The sequence below is a fragment of the Homo sapiens genome, chromosome 9, assembly GCF_000001405.40.
Source record: "Homo sapiens chromosome 9, GRCh38.p14 Primary Assembly".
NCBI classification, from domain to species: Eukaryota; Metazoa; Chordata; class Mammalia; order Primates; family Hominidae; genus Homo; species Homo sapiens.
The window spans coordinates 94,549,959-94,577,389 of record NC_000009.12 but is presented as its reverse complement, the minus strand read 5'-3'; the positions used below and the strand labels follow the sequence as shown (position 1 = coordinate 94,577,389).

General features: G+C 44.0%; 1 protein-coding gene and 2 long non-coding RNA genes across 16 annotated transcripts in view, besides 3 other annotated features; 2 read left to right on the top strand and 1 right to left on the bottom strand.

Annotated features, from left to right (window-relative positions):
• FBP2 (fructose-bisphosphatase 2) overlaps window positions 1-18,670 on the top strand; it is a 35,105-nt gene extending 16,435 nt beyond the window's left edge. The window contains exons 4-7 of the mRNA NM_003837.4: window positions 5,788-5,928; window positions 9,983-10,120; window positions 13,929-14,048; window positions 18,258-18,670. Of these exons, the coding sequence (NP_003828.2) occupies window positions 5,788-5,928; window positions 9,983-10,120; window positions 13,929-14,048; window positions 18,258-18,452 (594 nt within the window). The 3' untranslated portion in view covers window positions 18,453-18,670. The remainder of the gene's footprint in view (window positions 1-5,787; window positions 5,929-9,982; window positions 10,121-13,928; window positions 14,049-18,257) is intronic.
• Window positions 2,736-22,791, bottom strand: PCAT7 (prostate cancer associated transcript 7). Of its 14 annotated transcripts, none has more exons than NR_185905.1 (4): window positions 22,045-22,307; window positions 18,238-18,506; window positions 8,567-10,000; window positions 2,736-4,411 (listed from the first exon to the last, which is right to left on the bottom strand). It is a non-coding gene; the product is annotated as a prostate cancer associated transcript 7 (long non-coding RNA). The 14 variants fall into 14 exon arrangements; NR_185903.1 differs by having other exon boundaries at window positions 18,238-18,421; NR_185904.1 differs by lacking the exon at window positions 2,736-4,411 and adding an exon at window positions 22,543-22,791 and having other exon boundaries at window positions 6,453-10,000; window positions 18,238-18,421; window positions 22,045-22,237.
• Window positions 18,280-18,780: an enhancer, noted in NCBI's record as "H3K4me1 hESC enhancer chr9:97320892-97321392 (GRCh37/hg19 assembly coordinates)". NCBI's record gives its function as "activates a minimal SCP1, AML or CMV promoter by ChIP-STARR-seq in naive H9 embryonic stem cells {active_cell/tissue: H9 hESC(naive)}" and the evidence as "EXISTENCE:reporter gene assay evidence [ECO:0000049][PMID:30033119]".
• Window positions 22,106-22,768: an enhancer, noted in NCBI's record as "NANOG-H3K27ac-H3K4me1 hESC enhancer chr9:97316904-97317566 (GRCh37/hg19 assembly coordinates)". NCBI's record gives its function as "activates a minimal SCP1, AML or CMV promoter by ChIP-STARR-seq in naive and primed H9 embryonic stem cells {active_cell/tissue: H9 hESC(naive and primed)}" and the evidence as "EXISTENCE:reporter gene assay evidence [ECO:0000049][PMID:30033119]".
• Window positions 22,501-26,853, top strand: LOC124902218 (uncharacterized). The gene is made up of 2 exons (XR_007061674.1): window positions 22,501-22,831; window positions 24,036-26,853. It is a non-coding gene; the product is annotated as an uncharacterized LOC124902218 (long non-coding RNA).
• Window positions 23,433-24,095: an enhancer, noted in NCBI's record as "H3K27ac-H3K4me1 hESC enhancer chr9:97315577-97316239 (GRCh37/hg19 assembly coordinates)". NCBI's record gives its function as "activates a minimal SCP1, AML or CMV promoter by ChIP-STARR-seq in primed H9 embryonic stem cells {active_cell/tissue: H9 hESC(primed)}" and the evidence as "EXISTENCE:reporter gene assay evidence [ECO:0000049][PMID:30033119]".
• Window positions 26,854-27,431: the final 578 nt, after the last annotated feature.

The following is a 27,431-nucleotide window of genomic DNA, read 5'->3' as shown; positions in this document are numbered from 1 at the left end:
CAGAATATGTAACCAGTCCCAGAGAAGATGACAAAATCAGAGGCCATGATGTTGGAAACTGTTTTTCTCCTTCAAGGCTGAACCCCTGGATTGGACAGGAAATGAGAAAAAGAAAAGAAAGAGATGTAGAGGACAAAGGTCAAGTTTTACAGGAAGGAAGAGGAAAGAGAAAGGAAGGAGGGGAGGCTTGTGAGCCTTTCAGCCACTGCAAGGCTTGGGGTCAGTACCCTCACCACCCGGGTGTATCTCCTGTCAGGGAGAGCCTCAGTGCCCCAGACCTACATGGTGTGGGATGAACCCTTCCCACCTTTGCAAGTCACCAGTCAAGGTGAAATGTTTCTAGCCAGAGGGAGCTGTGGGTGCTTTTGGCCAAGAGGAATAAGGCTGTGGGTGCCCCAAGATTATCAGGAGGATGACTTGGAAGAAGTGGGGGGAGGGAGGGCTGAGTAGAGTCCCAAATCCCTCACCTCAGTTTCCAATGCCCCCCCAACCCCAGCCCTGGAACAGCCTGAACCCAGCAAGGCCCCAAGGGTGCCACAAATACAAACAAATACAAATGCATAAAATGCTCAAATGGTGTCACTAGTGGCCAAGTCTAAATAGAGCAGAGTCCCAGTGACATCCCAAAAGAGGCAGATGGTGGTCAAATGCACTCCGACTAACTCACCAAGTTCCGAAGTTTCAAAGTTCCAAAATTCCAAAGTTTGTCACTTCTCTAAAAGTCACTTTCAGTGCACCAGTGAAATATTGGAGGTAGCAGGCACTGCAGCAGGAAGAGAAAGAGAGGATCCCCAAGACAAAAGCATCTAGGCAGCTGCAGGAGACTCCCTAGCATTCCAGCCAAGGGGTCAGGTAGCCACAAGCAACTGGAGCCTACAGGCAGCCCCACAGGCCCTGTCCAATAGAAACCAGACCATGGGCTTGGGCCCCCAGAGCACACTGTATGGGCCACTAAAATTGTAACTGAATGCAGGTCCACATGCTCACTGCCTGCAGAGTCCAGTTAACAAGAGTGAGGCCTGGTAGATAGAAAGTGACTTTATTAACCACAACTAGTAAAGGGGAAGTGGCCAGATTCCCATCAAAGCAACCACTTTGACTATTTCGGGGGAAGGGAGGGGTTTAAAAGAGGAAAACTTGATTAAGGAGGGCATGCAAGAGAATTGTGCTGAGTACAGTATCTCTGGGTCTTGTTTTTATGATTATCTTTGGTGCCAGTCCACCTGGACCTCAGGCTGACATCATCTCAACAGTGGCCGAGTTGTTAATTAGCTGCATGGAAGTAATCTCTGGAATTTTGCAGCTAGGTCTCCATGCTTGGTCTGTCCGTCTCAAGATTACCTCCTGGAACTTCTAAGAAGGCACATAATAGATACTAGCATGCAGTTAGCTAAATGTGCAGGGAGTATATATGGTGAGAAAGGGAGCTATTTTATAGCTAAGAGAAAAGACTTCTGCAGTTTGCTTCAAGGTTATATCTTGAAACCCAAGAGAAGGGAAAAATGTTTTAAAATATATTATGAAGTTAAGCTGCCCAGTTACGTTAGGAAGATGGAAATTAAAACCACAGTGAGACACCATTCTCCTCTTCCAGAGTGGCTAAATCTAAAAAGACTAAGCATACCAAGTGTTGGCAAAGAAACTGGAATTCTTATACCTCATTGGTGGGACTATCAAATAGTATAACTACTTTGGAAAACATTTGATAGGACCTACTAATGCTAAACAGATATTTACACACTATGGCCAAGCAATTTCACTCCTGGGACCCACACAGAAGAAAGGAATTCTGTGTCTGCCCAAAGATGGAGAAATTAGTCATAGTAGCCCCAAACCAGAAAAATCCAAATGCATATCAACATGAGAATGGAGAAATAAATTGTGATATAGTCATACAACAGAAAACTACATAGCAATGAAAAAGAACAAACTGCTATGTATAACAACATAGGTAAAATTGCAAAGAAATAAACTTGAAAATCATAAGCCATACAAAAGAACATATGCAGTGTCATTTCATTTAGATGATGTTCCAAACCAGATAAAGTTAGATTTGGTGATAAAGGTGAGAATAGAGGTTACCTTTGGCAGGAGGTGATAGTGACTGGAAGAGACTACTAGGCCTGGCTTCACTAGGCTTAAAGTCCACTAGGTTGCTGGAAATGTTATATAAATGGATCTGGATGTTATGTAAAATATTCTATAAATACACATAAGTGTATATTATATATTTGTAAAAATTTATCAAGATGTACCATTAAGATTTGTATGCTCTGCTATATGCTTTATACCTCAACAAAAAGGAAAAAAGTCCACATTTCATAATTTCTACCACCAAATACATGGAGCTCTTGCAATTTTCATTAATTTTACCAAAAAGTAGTGGTAGGAAGCACCACTTATCTGATGGGCTCAGATATTTATTGGTGTAGAAAAAAATAAAAAGACGCACTAAATCATTTGCAAACTACTATAAAATTTACTGAGAAAGGTGTCATGGCAATGAAGATTGCTGATATAAACTGGGTTTTTGAAATCTCAGGACCGTGTTAGACAAATACAAAAACTGAACCATTCTTTTTTTTCCATGCATAGAAATAAATTACAGATGAGTTGATGAGTTTGGTAGAGAGGTGGGGAATAAAACCAGAAAGAAAAGACAAGAATATTTGTGTCACCCTGTCTTGATGTAGGAGAAATTCAGTCTAAACATAAAGACAAGAGAAGAAAACATATGGAATGTCATGAATAATTTTAATTTTAAAACTGCACTGCAAAAACAGGCACCATAAATAAGAAGGCAATGACAATCGAGGAAAATATTTGTGACATATACAAGACATTAATATCCTTTATATATAAAGAGCTATTAAAATAAACAAGAAGTTGAATATCCTGATAGAAAAATAAGCAAGACATGAAAGAGACAACTTACAAAATAAAAATGGTCAAAATAAACATATAAAAGGTTTTACCTGACTCATAAAAAATAGAAGTTAAAACAAAAGAGATGTCATTTTGTCCACCTGTCAAATTGACAAAGTTGAAAAGACAATGCTATCTTGTGTTTACCAGGCTGAATTAAAATGAACTCTCTTATTATTAGTGGTAAAAGTATAAATTGATGCACTCTTTCTGGAGGACAATTTTTCAATATGTATCAAAAGATTTTTACCCAATTATTTAATTATTGGGAATTTATCTTGGGAAAATGATCAGAGAATTGTGTATTTATGCAGTAGATTGTTAATCTCAGGTTGCCTTGTTTTTCAAAAGGATAAAAAGAGAATATTAGAAACAACTCCACATGCATACATTTGACAACTTAGATGAAACGAACCAATGTCTCAAAAACTACAATACTCTAACTCACCCAATATAAAATAGATACTTTGAATGGCTATCTACAGGGCTCAATACTATTAAGAAACTCATGCCCAAGAAAAGAAATCTCCAGGCTCAGATGGTTTACTGGAAAAACATAACAAATATTCACAGATTATTCAGTCTCTTCCAGAAAAGATAATAGGAAGGAACACTTCCCAATTCATTTTATGAAACCAGTGTTATCCTGATACAAAAACCAGACAAAGATTGTTCAAAAAAATACCACAGACCAATATTCCTTATCAATAAATGCAAAAACTCTTAACAAAATATTGGCAAATAGAATTCAACAATACATAAAATAAATTATACACCATGGCTGAGTGGGGTTTATTCTGGTGATGGAAGACTGATCCAGTATTCATAATCAGTCAGTGTAATCCACCATATCAACAGGCTAAAGAAGAAAAATCACATAATCGTATCTATTGATGGAGAAAAAACATTTGAACAAATTCAACACTCATTCATTATTTAAAAAAGAAACTTGCTGAGGTAGGAGGATTGCTTGAGGCCAGGAGTTTGAGACCAGCCTGGGCAACATAGCAAGACCCCCATCTCAAAAAAGACATTAGCTGGAGAGGGGGGTGGTAGTGCATACCCGTAGTCCCAGCTACTCAAGAAGTTGAGATGGGAGGATGACTTAAGCCCAGGAGTTGGAGGCTGCAGTGAGCCATGACCAAGCCACTGCACTCCACCCTGGGCAACAGAGCAAGACCCTGTCTCTGAAAAAACAGAAAGTCTTAGAAAACAAGAAATAGAGGAGGAGCGTCCCTTAACTCTATCAAGTACATCTACAGCTAGCATTACATTTAATGGTGAAAGACTGAATGCTTATACTCTAAGATCAGTAACAAAGCAAGGATGTCCTCACTCGCCACTGTTACCCAACATATGTAATCCTGAAAGTTGTAGCCAGCACAATAAGGCAAGGAAGATGATGAAACACATACAGATTGGAAAGCAGGTAATAACACTGTTCTTGCAGACGACATGATGGTCTATGTAGAAAATCCCAAGGAACCTACAAACAGAAAACCAAAACACTTCTAGAACTAGTGAGTTTAGCAAGGTCACAGGATACAAGATCAAGATACAAAATCAACTAGATTTCTATATATTAGCAATAAACTAATTCGTAATTATAATTACATTTTAAAATATGTGCTATTTACAATCACACAAAAAATGGAACAGTATAAATCCAAAAAATGTGTATAGGATTCTTATGCTGAAAATCACTGCATGTATGCATGTATATATGTGTGTGTGTAAACTCATGTGTGTGTTGTGTGTGTGTGTGAATTAAATGCAATATCTGTGGACTGGATTGTGCTAGGTGATGGGTAAACAGACAGGAACAAGACGGAGTTGGTACTTGCCACCAAGTTGCTCACAGTCTAGCTGGGAAGTCAGACACTAAGCCCGTGAATGAAAATGTGTTGGGAGCTTCAGAGAAGCAGCTCTGAGTGCTCATGGCGTCAAGCGCTGGAAGACCAGACCATGAGGTCAGAACATGGAGGCAAGAACATTCGGGTTTACAAAGCTTCTACGTACATCACAACAATGCTGTACTCCAGTTCTAGGTTTCTGGAGGAGAGACTCACATTGGGCCAGTTTGAATCACTAATCTATGAATCTATCCTTGACCCCATCAAATAAGTGTGCGTGTGTGTGTGTCGTGGGAGACGGGGTAACTCAATACAAATGTAGCAGCTAAGAGTCCCCATTTTGGATAAGGGGGTGAGGAAGAATCATTTTGCACCGGTTGGATGTACCAAGGGCCACAGAAGGACCAGAAGGAGCACCAACATTTAAGGAATCAGAGGAAGAGGTGCTGCCGGGAAGAGAGGCAAGTGAGAAGGAGCATCCACAGAGTCAGAGAGAAAGGCAGAATCAGGGCTTCCTGCTGCTGGGCGAGTTGTGCAGCCGCTCCAGCTGCAGTAGGTTGTTAATCTTAGGTGGTTTTGCTCTCAGAGTTCTCCCTCTGAGCCATGGAGGTGATGGTGCTATCTGCCCCAAAGGGCTGTTGAGTGTGCAGAGTGAGACACTGCACGCTCAGCTCAGTGATCTGAGTTGTGAGTATCGTGGCTTGGGAACATGGCTTATGATGAAGAGGGGCTACGGTTTTAGCATCTGGGAGTGCTTTTCTTGTCAGGCTACAGACACATGCGTTTGGAAAACAGGAAGGAAGAAGTCCAAGAATGGCCTTTGCCATGGCTCAGCTAGAACTGTTGGCAACATGGCCACTCGTTTCCTCTGGATGGATTTGCAGCAGCTTAAAATTCAAAGAACCGCGCTTCCTTCAGTGATTCGAGGAGATCTGAAGCCCAGGCCCCTGGCAAAGTGTTCTCTCCAGAGACAACAATAACACATGGCATTTATCCCTCTCTTCCACAGACCTCAGAGGATGAGCCTTCTGAAAAGGATGCCCTGCAGTGTGGCCGCAATATTGTGGCCGCAGGTTATGCGCTGTACGGTAGTGCAACCCTGGTGGCTCTCTCCACAGGGCAAGGCGTGGACCTCTTCATGCTTGACCCGGTAGGTACAGAATATGGCATCATCTGTGCCTGGGGACTCCATGGGCCTCTGTGCCTTAATGCCAGTTCTCTGCGATAATGTCCTGGTTATTCCTAATACTTGTTTTGGGGACCAGGGGTCCTGAGAGCCTAGTTTGGGGAGCCAAAACCATCATCAGAAACCATGAAGGGCCTCTGTCCCAGTGAGGGCACTCGGGGGGAGGAGTGTCCTGCAGAGCCAGTTGCATCAACTCAGGCCCTCTCCTTAAGGAGCTCATTTTCCAAAAATGCACTCAATCTCTTTGGCTTATGAGAATGCCATGATTTAAGAATCACAATGCTGCAAATTTCCAGCAGAAGCATGGGTTCGTTAGAGCAGCACCATCCAGTAGAATGCTCCATGAATTTCACTTTTAAATGCTGGATGGCTTGCCCATCAATTGTGAAATGCTTTGCCAAGTATACTGAGGTCTTGTGAAAACTCAGATAATATCCACCAAAGAACACGTCAAAACCTCTTGTTCACTTAGACCAAAAGGTTAAGTATTTAAGTTTTTGATTTACAGCTGTTTATTGAGCATCTACTGTGTCCCAAAGCACCACTCCAGACAGCGGAGATGGAGCATTGATCAAACACACATGACAGCCCTTGTGGAGTTCACGTGTTAGTGCACATGTGTGGAGAGAGGGGTTTGCAAAATTTCAAAATGACATGGAGTTAACTTACAAAACAGAGTTTACAGTATGGAAACCCAGAAACTTTTCAAATAGAATCTTTTCACCTGTATGCCCATTAGACCAAGACCCATTGCTGTGTCAGTTTGCTAATGCCCCAATTTCCCTTTATGTTCAAAGAAGCTGGCAAACCCTGAGAAATTCTATGGCTTGCAAATATTACCCTCAGACAATAAAACACCCTTTCTAAAGTTGTTGTAGAATAACAGCTAAGAGTTAGATAATTCTTCGTAAGTGGTAGGAATGTAAAGTACCTGTCCTATGAAATTTACATCTATTAATGCATTTAAATGTCACAGTGGCCCTATGAGATATGTCCTACAATTATTCCCATTTTCAGATGGGGAAAGTGAGGCGTAGAGAGAGTGAGTAACTTGCGCAAGGTCAAGCTAGTGACTGGTGTCAGGAGTCATGCTCCAGCAGTCTGTGCTTTAATTACTCTACCACACTAAATTTCCAACACAACTGCTCTTGAGTACAAGCAAAATATCTCCATGAACATTCTGAGCAGTTCTAAAGGTGATGGGAGATGCTTTGACTCAGGGACCCAATTCAAAGATTCCCAGGCACAGACAGAGCCTCTGTTTTCTGCCCTCAGTCATGAAAGCAGGGCCCAGTCTGGACATAGGTGGGCACCAGAGCTTGTCAACATGACAGAAGGAAGAGATGAACCATAGCATCTTTCCGGATCTCTATGTATTAGCCTGAAACCCCTTTGGATCACATCTCCCTACTAAAAAGGACATTTGAGCAAAGACCCAGTGCACAAAGCTTAGTGCCTGTTTGACATCCAGCGGAGGTAGCTTGTGGCAGTTGTCACAGATAGAAATGCCATGGAAGGCGGCCAGTAGCTTATGGAGGCAGCATTCCCTGGTGGGTCAAACTGAGCCTGTGAGGTCTGTGGGATTGCAGGGCTGGTGATTTGATTTTGTCAGAACACACATATTGTTCAGGCACAGAGAGACCACCTCCTGTTAACCAACTCTCCATTGTGGGTAAAGCTCAATGTCAAGGCATTCATTTACAAATGGGAGCTGTTGTTTCTTGTGACCAGGATCTGGTGTCTGATAATCGGTAACAGGGTGTATGAGAGCCCATATTAAAAATCAGCCGTTGTTGGTGACCACACAATCAGAACAAAGGAACACATTTTCCAGGTTAATAAAACTGTGGAAACAATATTCCCAGGGCCTGAGTGTCCCGGCCCCAGCCCCAGGAGTGGATCAACGTAAGGCGTTTTCACCCGCCCTGATGCAGAATGAGCGCCTCTGTTCAGGTGGTGAGTGAGTGCCACTGTTCAGATGACAGTTGTGCATCTCCATCCTCTTTGCTGGAAAGCAACAGCAAAATTGACCCCGGCTCAATTAAGTGAAAGGAGTTACTGCATTGATGGGAAAGCTGAGGACCCTGGCTAGGAACGGGCAGGACTAGAGGACCAGGAAGCAGGAAGCACGGCAGTGGTCTCGCAACATGGCCGGTCTGGCCTGGACACCACCCCCAGTGCTGCGCCTCTCACTCAGGTTTCAAATCCTAGGGAGGCGTATCTCATTTTCAAGCTAAGGTACATGCCTGACCTTGGCCTACAAGAGGCCCAGATATGAGTCTTCCTAGACTGGCATCCAATTCAAAGCAAGTCAGGGCACTTTTCAGAAGTAGAAATCAGCGCTGGGCTGCTCCAAAGCAACAGACACCCACAGCAAGTTAAAGGTCATGAGTCAAAGACCATCACTCGTGCACCTGTAATAACCCGAAGTTAGATTTAGCAGGCACTGCAGAGGAACCATGGGGTGTTGCATAAGGAGGGAGTTGAGATGGGCTTATAGGACTTGGGGTTTTGCTTGGTAATTCTAAAGAGGATTTGAGGAAGAGAGGGTCAGTCTGGATTGGATATTGTCTGGAAGTGGGTGCAATTAATGACTAGTTACCTTAATCATTTTTATCTAGGAGGCAGAGAGATTGAAGTCACTGATATAGAAGCAGTTGTCACTCATGTTAGGCAGGAAAGGATTGTTTAGTTGTTTTTGTTATTGAGTCTCCTTGGCACTGACTTGTTTCTGACAGGGACAGTGTCACCTCTCGTAGCAACACCTCTGCTATGTGGAGTCATTCTGTGGCCTTGCCTCTTTATATTCCGGGAATACCTCTGATGTTCCTTGGGAACCTTCTGGCCTAGCTGCCAACTGTGAGCTGTCATTTTGGAGTTTTTCACTCTCAAAATCTTGGACATTCATCAAAATGGATCTGGTTTCCAGGCTCTGGTTTTCCTCCTAGTGACTGAGACAGACATGAGCATTTAAGGTGGTATCTGCCACAAGCTGATCCCATTTTTAGTGACTGATATCACCAGAACTAGACATAGGGGTATTTGAGAGATGCCCTGCAGGTACTGACCACAGTGGCTACATGGGTTGTGGAGAGGGACTGGGCACACTTTTATTAATATGTCTGAGGATTCCTTTAGATTTTACCAACTTTTTCCTTACGCTGGGTGAACACAGTGTCTGATGAAAGCGGCTTCCTCTTTTCTCCAGGTAAGAGTGGGATACCAGAAACTGAATAGTTTCTATGATTGAATCACTAACATAAACAAAATAACTGTACCACACATTTTTTTTTTTTTTGAGATGGAGTCTTGCTCTGTCATCCAGGCTGGAGTGCAGTGGCGCGATCTCGGCTCACTGCAAGCTCTGCCTCCCGGGTTCACACCATTCTCCTGCCTCAGCCCCCCGAGTAGCTGGGACTACAGGTGCCCACCACCACGCCCGGCCAATTTTTTGTATATTTAGTAAAGACGGGGTTTCACCATGTTAGCCAGGATGGTCTCGATCTCCTGACCTCGTGATCCACCCACCTCGGCCTCCCAAAGTGCTGGGATTACATGCATAAGCCACTGCGCCCAGCCTGTACCACAAATTAATGGTTAAAATGCATCCCTCATACGACAATGTAACTTCTTCCTCTCACTGTTGATGGCCTATCTTCCTGAAAACATTAATCTGCGGGTGAGAACTTGGGAGATACACACAGTTGGGTTCACCATAAATGAGGAGCCTCACTGACAGTGGAAGATGCACAGGAAAAGAAAGAAGACTATGGGCTGCTTCCTTAGAATTGTCTTCCTGCTTGCTGTGTTACTGCTAGAGCTTCCTGTGTGGGCTCCATATGGTCCCTATTCTTCCCACCACTCATGAAAACACCAAAGAGCAGGTTCAGAGTGACCACAGCCAAGCCCCAGCTCTGCCAGCAGGCCCCCATCTTCTCCTGCTCTGATGTGGGGATTGTGCGGTTGGCTTGTTTCCTGGCTTCTCTCTTCTTCCTGGCATCTCTCTTCATGTTGCTAGGCTCTTGGTGAATTTGTCCTGGTGGAAAAAGATGTCAAGATTAAGAAGAAAGGAAAGATTTACAGCCTGAATGAGGGCTATGCCAAGTATTTTGATGCGGCCACCACTGAATATGTGCAGAAAAAGAAATTCCCTGAGGTGAGTGAAGAAAGCCAGGTGGGTGGCAGACAGAATGCTGTCCCCATGGGGTCCTGTTTGGGTGGTGGCTTCAGGGGCTTTGCTGAAAGAGGTTGGTGCCACTGTTTATGGCTGTGGTCAGTATGAAGATGATGGACTCTGCCTTTCTTCATAAGCATTCAGTATCTTATATAGCTAAAATTTACCTTCTAAAGGTAGTACTTATCTTTACATTTGAGTTTTTCCAGGATAAATTCTTTATAAAGAAGGCAGAGATCACATTTACAAAATTCAGAGCTCACGCCAGATCCTCTCTGAAGTCATTTGTTTAAGCTCCAACCTATAGACTCACTCAGTTGCATTTGCTTTTAGAATAAATAATTATATGAGAGGCCTTCAAAAAGTTCATGGAAAAATGAAATTAAAAGAGATTAGAAACATAAAATATAAACTTTATTTCTCAACATAAGCTCCATCAAGTTCAGATGCTTTTGTAAGGCTTCATACCAACCCTTTAATCCATCTGTAATGAACTGAGATACTGGGAATTTAATCTTAAGGCAGTCTTTTTAATGTTATTTGCTGAAGAAAAATGGGTGCCCTGCCAAGACCAGCTTGGTGGGGGAGACCCTAACCCAGCAGAGCTAGAGGAATTAAAGACACACACACAGAAATATAGAGGTGTGAAGTGGGAAATCACAGCCTTCAGAGTTGAGAGCCCCAAACAGATTTACCCACCTATTTATTAACAGCAAGCCAGTCATTAGCATTGTTTCTATAGATATTCGATTAACTAAAAGTATCCCTTATGGGAAAGGAAGGGATGGGCCAAATTAAAGGAATAGGTTGGGCTGGTTAACTGCAGCAGGAGCATGTCCTTAAGGCACAGATCACTCGTGCTATTGTTTGTGGCTTAAGAATGCCTTTAAGCGGTTTTCCACCCTGGGCGGGCCAGGTGTTCCTTGCCCTCATTCCGGTAAACCCAAAACCTTCCAGCGTGGGCATTAAGACCATCATGAACATGTCACAGTGCTGCAGAGACTTTGTTTATGGCCAGTTTTGGGGCCAGTTTATGGCCAGGTTTTGGGGGGCCTGTTCCCAACAGTGCCCTTTAAAGGTTTTTTAAGATTAGGAAACAAAAAGAAGTCAAAAGGAGCTAAATCAGGATTATAGTGATTTTCCATCAAAACTCTTGCAAAATTGCCATTGTTTGATGAGAAGATTAAGCAGGAGCATTCATGTGGTGGAGAAGAACTCTACGGTGAACTTTCCTGGGCTTTTTCTGCTAAAACTGTGGCTTTCTCAGAACACTCTCAAAATAAGCAGATGTGGGCCAAGGATGTTTCTCCCCAATGTTGTAAAAATGAATGGGTGTAATTAGTCAAGGGCAAATTGTATCCTACACCTTCAGAGGCCCTTGCTCTCCTCCCCCAAGTTACGAGCATCTATAGTTATCCCTCCCTCCTGCCCTCGCTCCCTCCCTCACTCTCACCTATCTATCATCTATCTATCTATCTATCATCTATGTATCTATTTTCTATCTATCTATCTATCATCTATCTACCTATATCTTTAACTGAGAGATTTCTCGTAGCTTTTCTTTATAGAGCAAAGGTAAGTTAGAGTAGAAACACCTGTCTCTGTTATGTCAAGTCCTTCTGGGCTAAAAAACTAGGAGCTTAGGAATATGGGTTCCATCTCTAGTTCCTGATAGTTCACTGTGTGTCTGCTGAAAGATTCTTTCTGTATTTAAATGTTTTGATTTTATGACTTAATGTTTTCCCCAAATATAAAAATTGTGTTCCTGTGTAACACATCACATAAAGACAACAAAAAATATAAGAAAATGTAAACAAAATTCATGTGTAAGATACTCCACCCTCAAAAACCCCACTGGGAACATCTTTTTTTTTTTTTTTTTTGAGGTGGAGTCTTGCTCTGTCTCCAGGCTGAAGTGGCACGATCTTAGCTCACTGCAACCTCCGCCTCCCTGGTTCAAGCGATTCTCCTGCCTCAGCCTCCCGAGTAGCTGGGATTACAGCCTCCCGCCACCATGCCCAGCTAATATTTTGTATTTTTAGTAGAGATGGGATTTCACCATGTTGGTCAGGCTGGTCTTGAACGCCTGACCACAGGTGATCCACCTGCCTTGGCCTCCCAAAATGCTGGGATTACAGGCGTGAACCACCATGCCAGACCCATTGTTTTATTTTTAATTGACATATAATAATTGTACATATTTATGGGATACATACTGATGTTTCATTATATATAATATACAGTGATCAGATCAGTATAATTAGGAAATCCATCATCTCAGACATTTATTATTTCTTTGTGTTGGGAACATTCAATATCCTCCTTCTAGCTTTTTGAAAATATGTCATATATTATTGTTAAATATATTCATCCTACAGTGGTTCAGAACACTATAACATATTCCTATGATGCAGGTGTAATTTTATTTTCTACACTTTTATTTTAGATTCAGGGGTAGTTGTGCAGGTTTGTTATATAAGTAAACTCCTGTCATGGGGGTTTGCTGTATAGATTGTTTGTCTCCCAGGTACTAAACCTGGTATCCAATACTTATCTTTTCTGCTCCTCCCCCTCCTCCCTCCCTCCACCCTCACGTAGGCCCCAGTGTCTGTTGTTTCCCTCTTTGTGTCCATGTGTTCTCATCATTTAGCTCCTACTTATAAGTGAGAACATGTGGCATTTGGTTTCCTATTTCCGTGTTAGTTTACTTAAGATAATTAGGCCTTCAGCTCCACCCATGTTCCTGCAAAAACATGATCTCATTCTTCTTTATGGCTGCATAGTATTCCATTGTGTATATGTAGCACATTTCTTTATCCAGTCTACCACTGATGGGCATTTAGGTTGATTCCATATCTTTGCTATTGTGAATAGTGTTGCAGTGAACATACATGTGCATGTGTCTTTACAATAGAATGATTTCTATTCCTTTGGGTATATACCCAGTAATGAGATGGCCGTGGTTGGAGAGTGGTTGGTATGAGTTCAGTTCTTTTGCATTTGCTGAGGATTGTTTTACGTCTGATTGTGTGTTCCAATTTTACTGTATGTGCTGTGTGTGATGAGAAGAATGTATATTTTTCTGGTTTTGGGTGGAGAGTTCTATAGATGTCTAACAGATCCATTTGGTCTAGTGTTGATTCGAGGTCTTGAGTATCTTCGTTAATTTTCTGCTTCAGTGATTACTGTCAGTGAGGTGTTGAAGTCTGCCACTATTATTGTGGGGGGGTGTCTAAGTCTCTTTGAAGGTCTCTAAGGACTTGCTTTATGAATCTGGGTGCCCCTGTGTTAGGTGCATATTATTTAGGATAGTTAAGTCTTCTTGTTGAATTGAGCCCTTTACCATTATGTAATGTCCTTTTCGTCTTTTTTGAACTTTATTGGTTTAAAGTCTATTTTGTCTGAAATTAGGATTGCAGCCCCTGCTTTTTTCTGCTTTCTATATGTTTGGCTTCCATCCCTTTATTTTGAGCCTATAGGTGGCACTGCATGTGGGATGGGTGACTTCCTTTTTCTTTGTTTGTTTAGCGGCTCTTTTAAGATTGCTGCAGGATATTGTCTCATACTTTAAGCAGTCCTGCATTTGTTAAGTCCAGTCACAAGGTAAGGTTTGAGGAGCTCATAATAAATGAAATGCACAATTATATAATCTTTTCAATTCCTACACTAGTGGGTGGAGGATAGGGATTCAAGAAGGCAGAGGTCACACCAACTGGACTTGTGACCACGAGCAGGTGCTGGCTAATCCTGAAAGCCACTGGATCTTGTCTCTTCGCTTTCTGTCTTCTAGGATGGCAGTGCTCCCTATGGGGCCAGGTATGTGGGCTCCATGGTGGCTGACGTGCACCGCACCCTGGTCTATGGAGGAATCTTCCTGTACCCAGCCAACCAGAAGAGCCCTAAGGGCAAGGTAATTCTCCCTTGTCCACTGGCTGTGCATCCGGTCAGGGAGGTGGGGGAGCTCCCTCCCGTCACACCTGCTGTTTGGCTACTGCACTGCTTCATGGCATGTCTGTGTGGGGATGGGCAGGGGAGGAAAAATGAACTCTGTTTCCCTTGAGTGAGTCTCCAGGCTGTGGGAGGTTTGAAGAAGAAGGCGACAGGCTGACGTTATGTGACTGGTGATTCTCACTGGTCTTACCCCCTCCAGCCTCACACCCACCGTTCACCATGAACCAGCTGTGTGTCTCACTTTCCACAGGCTGCATCTGACTTTTAGCTTCAGCACCAGCTGATCTGGGATGATGGTCCCTATAGGGAGCCTAATAAAACTTATCAACACACTTCCCAGAACAAATGCATGTAAACGTACACATTACATACAAATTACACGTTGAGGGAGTTCACTGATGCCCTGAAGTCCGCCCAAGTATCCCCTAGAGAATTTCCAAACCTCAGAATAAGAACTTCTACTCAGAACTCAGCCAATATATCTGGAAAGGTAGTTCCTGGAAGGTCTAATTGCAACTTAATGATGCAAAACTTAAAATACTTGTATTATCAAGTGAGAACCTTATGATCCAGCTATCTTGCAGAGAACCTCCCATAAAAATGCATCTGAATTTTAGCCAATCACAGAAATCGTAGGTAAGTAGTCAAATCAAATAAAGGCCTCTGTTTTCTCTGACACACCAACAACCAGCGACACATTTTTCTGTCTCTCAGAGTCACCTTGAGATTTGAATTATTCGAATGCTAAGAATCAAAGCCACGCTGAGAGATCTCACACAGCACATGAAGCCAGAGAGATTTTAATAGGTTGGTGTATCAGGTGTTTCTCTTCATGTGAGTGCTTAGCCCAGGTGTATTCACCCACTGAACTAAGAACACTGATAAGCCTGCAGAAGTGGTGCTGAAGGAAAGCTAAGCACCATGGAGGACTAAGTGAGGCAAGTAGAAGACATGGACAATGGACATTCTTTTTTTTTTTTTTTTTTTTTTTGAGATGGAGTCTTGCTCTGTCGCCCAGGCTGGAGTGCAGTGGCACCATCTAGGCTCACTGCAAGCTCCGCCTCCCAGGTTCACACCATTCTCCTGCCTCAGCCTCAGAGTAGCTGGGACTACAGGCGCCCGCCACCACGCCTGGCTAATTTTTTGTATTTTTAGTAGAGACGGGGTTTCACCATGTTAGCCAGGATGGTCTCGATCTCCTGACCTCGTGATCCGCCCGCCTTGGCCTCCCAAAGTGCTGGGATTACAGGTATGAGTCACAGCGCCCGGCGAAGACATGGAAATTCTTAGAACCACTCTGGTCACTTACTCAGTTACATTGGGGAGAACATAAAGATCAGTTATTACTAATTATTCAAATGATCGTAAATGAGTCAGAAAATACTCACATGGGATCACATACTCATGTCCCTTAAGCACATGTCACTCCATAGATAGATCTGCGTTTGCTGCGCATAACCACCACCCATACTGAAAGTTCTGTTGGATCCTAATCTCCGCATTTCTGCTGTCATGGTCCCTGTGCCGACGTCTCTCTGTGTGTGTGTGTCTGTGTGTGCATGTGCACACTCCTATCCTGTGTGTGTCTGCATCTGTATAGCTGTGTAGATTTAATTGCAGAGAAAGTACAGGTCATGGCTGGCTGCGGTGGCTCACGCCTGTAATCCTAGTACTTTGGGAGGCCAAGGCGGGTGGATCACGAGGTCAGAAGATCGAGACCATCCTGGCTAACACAGTGAAACCCCGTCTCTACTAAAAATACAAAAAATAATTAGCCAGGCGTGGTGGCATGTGCCTGTGGTTCCAGCTACTCGGGAGGCTGAGGCAGGAGAATGGCGTGAACCTGGGAGGCGGAGCTTGCAGTGAGCCGAGATCGCGCCACTGCACTCCAGCCTGGGTGACAGAGTGAGATTCCATCTCAAAAAAAAAAAAAAAAAAAAAAAAAAAATACAGGTCACATGTCACATGGCCTGCAGGCCAAGGTGCCATGAAGCCCTGGGCATTTTGATATTAAATTTCCTACAACAGGGGCATCTGAGGTCAGAACAAAAGTAACTTGGCTCCAAGACAAGCGCATTAGGTACTAATGCTGAGCTTTTTTTGATTAAAGTAGTTGACTCAACAGGATAATTGATTACAATCTGAGACTTTATTATCTGATACCCCAAATCCCCCACATAAAAGGGGAGAAAAATGCTGAGCGCTATAAGCTGTCAAGGTGAGAGTCTCCTTGGCTAGACTGTCCTGGACAGCATGGCCTCCAGTGTCCCTCCTGTGGGTAATGAGGGACAGAACTATCTGCCCCCAGACAGCCCGCATGCACCACAACTTTTTTACACCCTTCTGGACACCCACTACTTTAAGAGCCAGAGGTCTAGGGTGAGGGCACCTTACACTGACCAAAATGGCAGTAAATACCCCCATGGAGTCTTCACCTACTTTCTCTCGAATGCCTGGATCTCCAGCCTAGACCAAAGGCATCATGTTCCTCTCCTTAATATATATAATATATACAATAGAAAAAATATATAATAACATTATATAAATATATAACATATTATATGTAAATATATATTATATAATATATAATAACATATAAATATATAATAGAAAAATAGAAAAAAATTACCATAATATATGACTCTTTCTCAAAGTAGTTTAAACATATCACCAAAACGGACTGGAAGAAAAGAATGGTAAGGAAAGGCTGCACATAGCTGGGTCAACCATTTCGTAAGGTGATAATGGAGAATGAACTTTTGGGAAGTTACACAGGTTGCACTGATGGGGAGAAAGAAGAAGATGATACTGAGTCATGCACAGCAGCAGGGCCTCGGCCAGAACGACACCCTGAATCTAAGGTGATGGGGGTGTGTGTTGTGAGTCAGGCTGGGGGCGTCATGACATCATCACAGAAATAGACCTAAAAAGTCCATTCAATCCAACCCCATTCATTTCAATTCACTGCGTACTCACAGGACACAGGCAGCCTCCTGCCAGTTCTCATGTGCCTGCAGGAGGGTTAGAGAAGGCCTTCCTTCCTCTGAACAGCAGCCCTGGATCTTGTGCAGAGACTGGCAAGCAGGGCACAGGCTGATTTCAACCCAGTTTCTGCCCTCGGCTGGGACCCCTCGTGCAGGAAACAGTGGCCTTGCTTGGACACTTTCTTCGTTTTTGAGACAGGCTCTTGCTCTGTCACCTAGACTGGAGGGCAGTAGCATGATCACAGCTCACCGCAGCCTTGAACTCCGGGGCTCAGTTGATCCTCCCACTTCAGCTTCCTGAATAGCTGGGATCACAGGTGTGCGCTACCACACCTGGTTAATTTTTAAATTTTTTGTAGAGATGGGGTCTCACTATCTCAAATGGGGTCTCAAATGCCTGGACTCAAGCGATCCTTTTGCCTCGGCCTCCCAAAATCCTGGGATTACAGGCCGGAGCCAACACTTTCTCTGTGTCGGCACTACTGAGAATACAGATAGTACAGTGACCAGCTAGGATGGACAGCAGCCTAGAGAGGAAGCCAGGCATTAAAGAGGCCTCAGTGTGATGAGTGGTACCAGAGGGGAAGTACAGGATGCTATGGGAGTGCAAACGATGGGATTTCACTTAGTCTAAGGGTCAAAAGACAAGACCATTGAAACACCGGCAAACTAGTTAGACAAGTCAAAGCTTAAGATGTGGAGTTCCTCCACACAATCCCAGCCACTGTGGCTGTCCCCAGAGAGACAAGCCGGCATGGTCAAGGTGACCTTACTGTCCCATCCAAGCTTGACTCTTTACCAGCCTTGAGGTCTCACATATAAAGGCTTCCACCAAGGCCTGCAGCATCAGTTTGCTTCTTGTTGAACCAAGAAATAGATGCCTAGATCTCATATTTCCAAGTCAAGAGGCAGGTCTCTCATAAGCACAAGGATCACAAGATGGGTAGATACATGGCTCAGTCACCTGGCCAGAGGGGCCCCCAAGGCTTCTGGATGAGTGCCATCTGATGCATCTGGCCTGCTGTAGGCTCTAAAGCTCGGGCCCACTCTTGCAAGGTGCATGGTGCGCTCATGCTAGCCAGATGGAAGCACCGCAGTACAAACTCCTCCCCCAGCTTTAGGGGCATGGCTCGGGACATTTGGCCACTTGCAGAGTTTACTCACCTGCCTCTGTTCCTCCACAGCTCCGGCTCCTGTATGAATGCAATCCCGTGGCCTACATCATTGAGCAGGCAGGAGGCTTGGCGACCACGGGGACCCAGCCTGTACTGGACGTGAAGCCCGAGGCAATTCACCAGCGAGTCCCCCTCATTCTGGGGTCACCAGAGGATGTGCAGGAATATCTCACCTGTGTGCAGAAAAATCAGGCAGGCAGCTAGCGAGTTTGACCCCACATGCCCTCTTCTGTTTGTCTTGCACCTTGTCTAAGGACCCTAAATGAACGATAAACAGAGATGGTAGCTATGAGTATACAAAAGGTAAATCCACTTAATCACATACAGAAGAGCAACAACAAACTGCTTACGACAGGTTTGGAAGCCACAGGCGATTCTATGGTCAATGTGAAGGACTAGAAATAAAAACCCACATGTGGAAAGTGCGACTTTGGCTTGTCTTCTGTCAGAAACAGTGGCAAATATGGTTATAATTCCGTCTGTCAACCCACATAATTGGCGGCTGCATGCTTGTGGGCAAAGAGTACATAGATTAGTTAAGAATTTGTCAGCTGGGTGCGGTGGCTCATGCCTGTAATCCCAGCACTTTGGGAGGCCGAGGCCAGCGGATCACGGGGTCAGGAGATCGAGACCATCCTGGCTAACACGGTGAAACCCCATCTCTACTAAAAATACAAAAATTAGCCGGGCGTGGTGGCGGGCGCCTGTAGTCCCAGCTACTCGGGAGGCTGAGGCAGGAGAATGGCGTGAACCCGGGAGGCAGAGCTTGCAGTGAGCCGAGATCGCGCCATTGCACTCCAGCTTGGGTGACAGAGTGAGATTCCATCTAAAAAAATAAAAAATAAAAATTGTCTTGATTGGCTTGAAATTTGAACCTAGTGTCTTATCCTGTAGTGATTACCTCCCTCAAACACATGTAAATTTCCAACTTAATATCTTAGAAGAGTATTTGTGTCTTATTTTGGATAAACTTGAGTTAGAAATCTCATGGCAATTAAATTCTGAAATTTCTGATTGAGCCTATCTTAAGAGTCTATAATTTGGATGACCAATCACAGTTTGAATGGAAAATGGGGTCACTTATTGTTAAAGCCAGAAACAGAGTCAATATTTAGAAATTAACTACTTTTCTAAACCTCTTAACCTTGCATTTTCAGTTTTTGGGGAAATGTTTTAATCTATTCTAGGGACTAACTGGTGTACACTGGTTAAATGACTCGTCACTTGTCCAAATTATGTTAAGACTGGGGAGGGGTTGGCTTATGCATCTGAAATCTCATCTTGTTTTAGGAAGAATTGCTCTGAATATCTATGGACCTGGAGGCTAAGAAAGACATTCATGAAAGATTGACAAATCAAATCAAATCCAGAAGTATTTAAAGCAAAGGTGCATCAGGAGAAAGTCAGGCTTAACCTAGAAATTCAAGAATGATTCAACACGGAAAAATCTATTACAGTAATTCATTAGGTTAGGGGAAGGCAGTGTCGGGTGGGACCAGGCAAGGCCCTGGAGGAAGCAAGGCTCTCCTTTCCCACTTTAGCTTGGGCAGGGTGGGGCATACAGCCCACAGACACATTTCAACTTGAGTGTCATTCTGTACGCAACATCGTTCCTCAGTCTAGCATGGCTTGGCAACTTTAGCAGACACAGCAAAATCTTATTACACAACCAAAAAATTTTCACCTTCTCAAAAAGGAACAAAGATTTTCTTCTTTTCCCAAAATGAAAACTTCATAAAACATAGATGAAAGATATTAAAGCAGACACAAGTAAATGGAAAGATATCCCATGTCCATGCACTAGAAGAATGTTAAAATATCTATATCACCCAATGCGATCTACAGAATCAATGCAATCTGTGTTCAACTACAAGACATTCTTCATTTAAATAGAAAAAGAATCTTAAAATTAACATGGAAGTTCAAAATACCTCAGATAGACAAAAGAATCTGGAATAAAAAGAAAAGCTGGAGGCATCACACTACCTGATTTCAAAATATACTACAAATCTATGGTAAGCATGGTACTATCAAAACAGTATGGTACTATCAATAAAAGGGGCAGGGGAGAGACAGAGAGATGAACGAATGAGACAGACAGACATAGACAAGTGAAACAGAATAGAGAAATCAGAAATAAATTCACGCGTTTACGGTCAACTCATTTTTAACAAAGGCCCCAAGAACACACATTCGGGAAGGACAATCTCTTCAATAAACTGTACCAGGAAAACCCAACACCCACATGTACAAGAATACATCTAGGCCATTACCTTACCATATACAAAAATCTACTCAAAATAAAGATTTAAATGCAGGACCTGAAACTATGAAACTACCAGAGAAGAAAACATAGGATAAAATGCTTCATGAAATTGGTTAGGACAAGGAATTTTCAAATAGACATCAACAGCACAAGCAACAAAAGCAAAGATGTAATTACGTTAAACTTAAAGCCTTTTCCAAAGCAGAGGAAGCAATCAGTATAATGAAGACAGAACCCAGAGAATGGAAGAAAGTATTTGCAAACTATGCATCAGGCAAGAGGTTAATACACAAAACATCTAAAGAATTCAAACTACTCAAAAGTGAAAATACAAATAATCTTATTTTTAAAAATCTACCCAAAACCTTTGTCCCCCACCATTTCCCCACCTTCTTTTCCTGACCGCATTTGGCCCTCTCCCTCTCACCACCCTTTCTCTTCCTCCATCTACCCCAAACTTTTTCACCGTTTTCTCCCTACCGTCATTTCGCAAAGCCTTCTCTACTCTCCCGCTCACCACGCTTTTCCCCATCCATCTACCCAAACACTTTCTCCCACCGTATTTTTTTTCCCACCGTATTTTCCCCCTTCTCCCTGGCCACCCTCTTTTTCCCCCTCCCGCTGTCATCACGCCCTTTTGCTCCTTCATATAAGCAAAAACATTTTCCCCCGTCTTTTCCCAAAGCCTTTTCCCTACTGCTGCTCACCACCCTCTTTTCCCCCTTTATCTACCCAAAAACTGTTTTCCTCATCGTCTTTCCCCCGGCTCCTCCTTGCCACTCTCCTTCCCTTCTCCATCTACCCAAAAACATTTCCCCACCATCTTTTCTCAAAGCCTTTTCCCCACTCCTGCTCACCTCCCTCTTTTCCCCATCTACCCCCCAAAATTTCCCCATCTTTTCACAAAGTCTGCCCCTGCTTCCCACTCGTTCTCTTCTCTCCCCTATACTGCTTGCCACCCTCCTTTTTGCCTTCCATCTACCCCAAACTATTTTCCCGTCTTTTCCCCAAACTTCTTTCCCTGCTCCCTCTCGCCACCCTCTTTTCTCCTCCTCCTTGTCACCCTCTTTCCCTCCTCCATCTACCCAAACACTTTTTACCTACCATCTTTTCTCCACCATCTTTCTTTTCTGCCACTGTTTTTTCGCAAAACCTTGTCTTCCTCCCGCTGGTTACCCTCTTTTTCCTTCTCCCACTTGCTATCTTCTTTTGCTCCTCTACCCAAAAACTTCTCTCCCCACCATCTTTTCACAAAACCTTCTCTCCCTACTGCTCGCCCATTTTCCCCCCCTCACCACTCTTTCCTCTTCCCAATTGCCACCTTCTTTTCCCCCTTCATCCACCCATAAACTTTCTACCCACCGTCTTTCTGCAAAACCTTCCTTCCCTCCCTCTCTGCACCCTGTTTTTCCACCTCCATCTACCCAAAAACTTTTTTCCCCACCATCTTTTCCCCATCGTCTTTTTGCAACGCCTTCTCCTCCTCGCTATCCTTTTTTCCCTTTGGCACTAACCACACTCTTTACCCACCTCTATCTATCCCAAAACTATCTTCTTCTTCCTACCCCTCCAGCCGCGCTGCAATGTCCACCGCCACCACCAACCGCAGCGAGGCGAGCCGCGCCACGGTGCCGCGGCTCAAGCCTCCAGCATACGACCTGTGACTCCTTTTCCTGGTCTTCTAAGCCGGGCACTGAGCAGCTCAATAGAAACACACGGAAACCTAAAAAAACAAAAACAAAAAAAACAACAACAAAAAAAACGTAACTCTGCTTCAGCATTATTTATATCCTGAGGTTATGCGCATGCCGGTTCCTAGACTGCATGTTCTGATTGGATGAGAGCAAGTCTTAAGACAACCAATCACAGCATGAAAATAAAGTCCAATCAGAGTAGGCCTAGAGGTTTTTCTCTCATCCAATCAGAACATGTAGTCCAGGGTCTCCTAACCTCAGTATATAAAGCATGCTGAGGCAGCGGCGCGTCATTTCTGGCACTTATGTGTGGGTGTGGGGAGCTACTACGTACCCGGCTTAAAGAACTGGAAGGCTCCGTCACTTTTCGCCCCCTGGAGCCTGGAGCTTGGAGCCTGGAGCCTGGGGCACTCCCTCCCTGTTGGTGGTGGTGGTGACGGAGCGGTAGGAGGGAGGCTAGCAGCGAGAGCTTCTCCTGCCGGGCTGGAAGACAGAAAGAAGAGGCACCGCCGCGTGCTGGAGGCTGGAGCCGGAGCTTGCGCCTCCGCGGCTCGCCTCGCTGCGGTTGGTGGTGAAATCAGAGACCGCAGCTCGGCCACAGTGGTAGAAATGTGGTAGGGTAGGTGAGTTATCCAGGGCTGCACTGCCCTCTTCTGGGGGTAAGGGTTGGGTGTACTATAGGGGCTCACTGCCAAAGGCTACACTGCCTGTGGCATTGGACTGTTTGGGGGCACTCTCTGGGGTTGCATTGCTGGTGGTGGAATGGGGGGCTACACTGCCCGAGGTGGCAGGGGTGGTCGGGAGAGGCAGGTTGTGTACACTAACGTGTACTGCCAGTGGCGGTGGATGGCTTAGGGGCGTTGTCTTCTGCTGCACTGTCCGTGGCAGGGGCGGGTTGGGTGGAGTTATCTGGGGCTACAATGCTGGCAGTGGGGGGTGGTTTAAGGGCGTGGTCCGGTGCTGCACTGCCTGTGACTGGGGGTGCGCTATCAGGAGCTGCACTGCCCATGGCGGGGTGAGGGTGGGGCGGGTTTGGGGCGCTGTCTAGTGCAGCAATACCCGTGGCTGCGTCAGGTGGGCACTATCGGGTGCTAACACTGCCTGCGGCCGAGGAGTTGGGATGGTTTGGGGGGGTATTGGTTACATTGCCTGCAGCTGTTGGGTGTGCTATCCCAGGGTTACAGGGGGCAGGTTAGGGGTGCTATCGGGGGCTATACTGCCAGTGGGGTTGGTGGGCTGCAGAGGCAGCAGCGGCAGCGACAGCTGTGGCCTCCTTCCTCTTTCTGGTGGCCTCCATGGAAGGATGGAGTTCTTCTCTTCCCGGACTCCAGACTCTAGAGGGTGATCTCTTCGTGCTCATGCAATCTTGAGCACCGCAGGGCTCTCACACCCACTGTGGTTCCCTGGCCCGCGCCCTCACGCACGCTCTGTGTTGTGGAGACCATCTGGGACTACCGGGCAGGGAATAGAGGGCACCACGGGGGAGGGAGGGGGACAGGGCACTGTGGGTGGAGGCGTGAGGAATGGGAACCAGCACTTGGGTGGAGAGGGCTGGCTGGGTCTGAGTTTCTCCTACGCGGGCTCCCCGAAGAGCGCAGTGCCGATGGGCCCAGCAATTCCTGGCCAGCTGGACTTGGCCAGGAGCCGGTTTCAGTGAAGGCACTCACACCCAGCCCAGGCCCCAGTTCCTGGCCAGCTTTTGCCAGAAAGAGAGGCTGGACTTTGGAAGGTGGGTGTGAGTGCCTTTAATGAAATGGTCCCTGCCGCCCAGTGGCCAGCGTGACAAGGTGAAGCTCTAACACTTCCACTCCCTGCATCCTGTTCTAGGTTTCTCTGGCTTTGCCTGCGCAACTGCTCCCAGCCAGGCTGGAGGAGGAGGAGGAGTCACCTGTGGTATGCTGGAGCCTGTAGATGGCGTGGCTCTGCAGCTTGCCTCATGAGGTTGGTGGCAGCAACAGAGACTGCAGCTTGACCAGAGTGGTAGGAGGGCACCCGTGGGGGCCAAGTGATAGGAGCCTTGTAGGGTGGGCTGGTGCATTGAGGGCAACAGCGGTTGTACTGGCATCGGCGCTAGCGTTGGTAGCAGCGGCAAGTCTGGGGGCTGGGAAGGGGAGTAGGAGCGCTCACTTGCCCATCCTGTCCTGGGGTGGGGACGAACCTTAAGGTGCTATAATGCGGGCCTCAGTGGCAGTGGTGGAGGTGCATGTAGGGTAAGGAGGAGTCTTCCTCCTTGTCCTGCAATCTCTGGAGGGTGCCCTCCTCCTGCTGGCGCCTGAGCCAGGCATGAGTGGCAGCATTGTCTAATTCTTAACAAAATTCAGGGGGTGACTTTTTGTGTATCTTTTCGCTTGTTTTTTGTTGTGATACTCTTGGACTTAACTCAAATTTCATGAATCGAGGAAAGGATAAAAGGTATAATAGGCCTTCTAATTCACGCACCTGTTCTTTTTCCTTTCTTCCAGTCTGTATTTTCTTCTTCTTGTTCCTCTTCATTTTCTTTTGCTGCTGCTGCTTCTATTTGATGTTTCTATTCTTGTTTCTCCTCTTTTTGTTTTCTTTATGCCAAGCAATGACCTTAAACAACAAGCCCAAACTGAGTGAAAAATAAACTTGTCACTGTGATGTATTTTTAAAATAACTGGTCCCTTACTATGTTTTAGAGATGAGGAAACAAATAAGTCGTATAATTAGTTGAATAGCTATGATTTCATTATTGTGTTAACCCACTTAGGCCTAGTGTTCCATTATTGGAACGCTAAGCATGTGGGAGTTACTTATACTGCTCAAGGTCATTGACAAGGTCTGATTTTTCACTCATGCAAAAATTCAAAAAATTGCAACCTCTGGCATAAATGGGCTAATGAGTTGTAAGTAGTTATCCAAGGAACCAAAAAGTGAAGCATCACATAAGATATTGGTAGCAAAAGGCCATTTCATCTCTCTCAAATATTTGTCTGGAGCTATGTAAGAGTCACTGGGGTAATAAGTTCTAATTTATGAGATTATTAAGTGAACCATATTCCCTTCATTTTATTTCTCTGCAACCATTTTGAAGAGTATCATCATCTGCATGAGCAAACCTGGTTCATCACCACATTTTTGCAAGAGGCAAATGAAGGGGGGAGAATCATGTGTATAATTTTGCAAGGCAGAGATTCACTACCAAAAACAAGGCTTTATTAACTTTTGCCTTTAAGAACCTGCAGTGTTGAGCTCTCTTTTAATCGTAGTATTACTACCTTTGGTATGAACTCTTTTTTTTTTTAAACTGATTACTCTAGAAGTTTATGCATTTTCTTAGCTGCCTTAAAGACAATCTATATTGTATCATTTTTCAAGCCCACAGAAATGTGTAAGGCCTATAATTCTGACACTTTCAGTTATTTTTAAGGTTATGAGCATGTGAAATACTGTTGATATATGGAAGAATGTGTGTAAATACCACTAGATAGCTTATTTTGAAGAGATAGTATCTAAATTTTTGTCCAGAGTAGATTGGTTGCAGTTTCTTAAGTTTGTTTGTCAATACATTTCCTCAATGTTTTAAACCATATAGAAATTTGAATACGTTTAACCTCATATAGCCCTTTATTTATAGGTTTAATATTTCTAAAGACTAAGGACATCACAGCCTCCTTTAAGATTCAGTAATAATAAAATTTGAGATATGTAGGATTAGAATCCAACAAATTCAGAGGAAAATTGTTAAATTATATAGCTGTAGAGCAGGAATGAAACCCAGATTCTAAGCTCTAAGGGGGCCATGAGCTACCATACAGGTGCATCCGTGACTGGGCATAGAGTCGGCAAAATTACAGGATGGTTAAGAGAGTGAGCTGTGGAGCCTGACTCTATGTGAACATGAATTTTTAAACCGCATGGTGCCTCAGTTTATCCACCTTTACAGTAGGGACAGTAGTAAGTTCTTTTTTTGCTCAGTTGTCTGGATTATTTCCCTAATCTTTCTTGTTGCCACTCTTGATGCCCACATGAGAGAATCTAAGGTAATTTCTGATAGCCTGAGACTGCTGAAGGAAAAACAGAAGGTGCCACAAACCCATTTTAGGAGAAACCTCTGTTTTCCTCATGGAACCCCAAGAACTTTAAGCAGACAGGTCCCTCTCAAAATCTAAGGCTCTCCTGTTTTGCCTTGCATTATCTGACCTTTTTGGTTTGAGTGGGCATCAGAAATTAGTAGAGGGAAGAGATCTAAAGAAAGTTGTGGATATGAAGATGTATTTATGGTAAGAAATATTATGAAGGAAAGAAATGTTATGTGAGAGAGGATCTTGTATGGCAAATTCTTGTCCTAAAGTAGAATGACTAATCACAACAGAGGGAAATACAGGACAAGTCACAAAGTTAAATCATGTCCTAGATGGTCTGTGGAAGTTGTGTTAGGGTTCATAAAATGTGAAAGAAAAACTTACAACTGCTAGATCGTGTCCTGTCCAGAAGTGTTGTGTATGTGATGTATATATAAAGGAGCTCTAAGTACTCGACTTAACAGAAAATGAAAGCTCTTAAATATTTTGTCAGAAAAACAGAGGCTCTAATGCCTTTTATTTCACATGACTTCACTAATCTTTGGAAAATAAAGACGGTGTTAAAATCATTGGTAGAATAAAAATATCTTCAAAATCTATCCATTTTGTCTAATTTAAGTCAGAGGTTAAATTTTAGAAGTGCTTTAATGTCATAAATTGATTCTTTGACTTTGGAAAATTGTTGTGTTTACCTGGCTTGGAGCCGTGAAATTTCTAGGTAAGGCCTGGGAACAGGTGGAGTTAGCCATGTCTCCTAGATATGCTGAAAAGATTCAGACTTATCTACAGTTCTGTCTTGTATCCTAGACTCTGCACCTGTTGGTCATTAAAACGTCCTGCTGCTGCTAATCCCTGGACTCCATTTAAAACCCTTCCATCACATGAATACTATCCCCTGTACTACATTTTTCCACAATTAAATACTTAGAATCATTTTTGCCCACTTGAACCAACCATTAGTGATATATTTAAAAAATAATGTGTCTCAATATATTTAGCAAATGTAGGGAATGACATTTTTACTGTTGTCTTTTACATAGCATTTATGTAGCAATGCTATCAAGTATTTTTAGTCATTTAAATGTTATATAAGAGATGCTTTTGATTCCTTTGTTTCTATGTAAATAAATATAATTATGAGATATTCAATAAATAGTATCGATTACATGTTTAATTT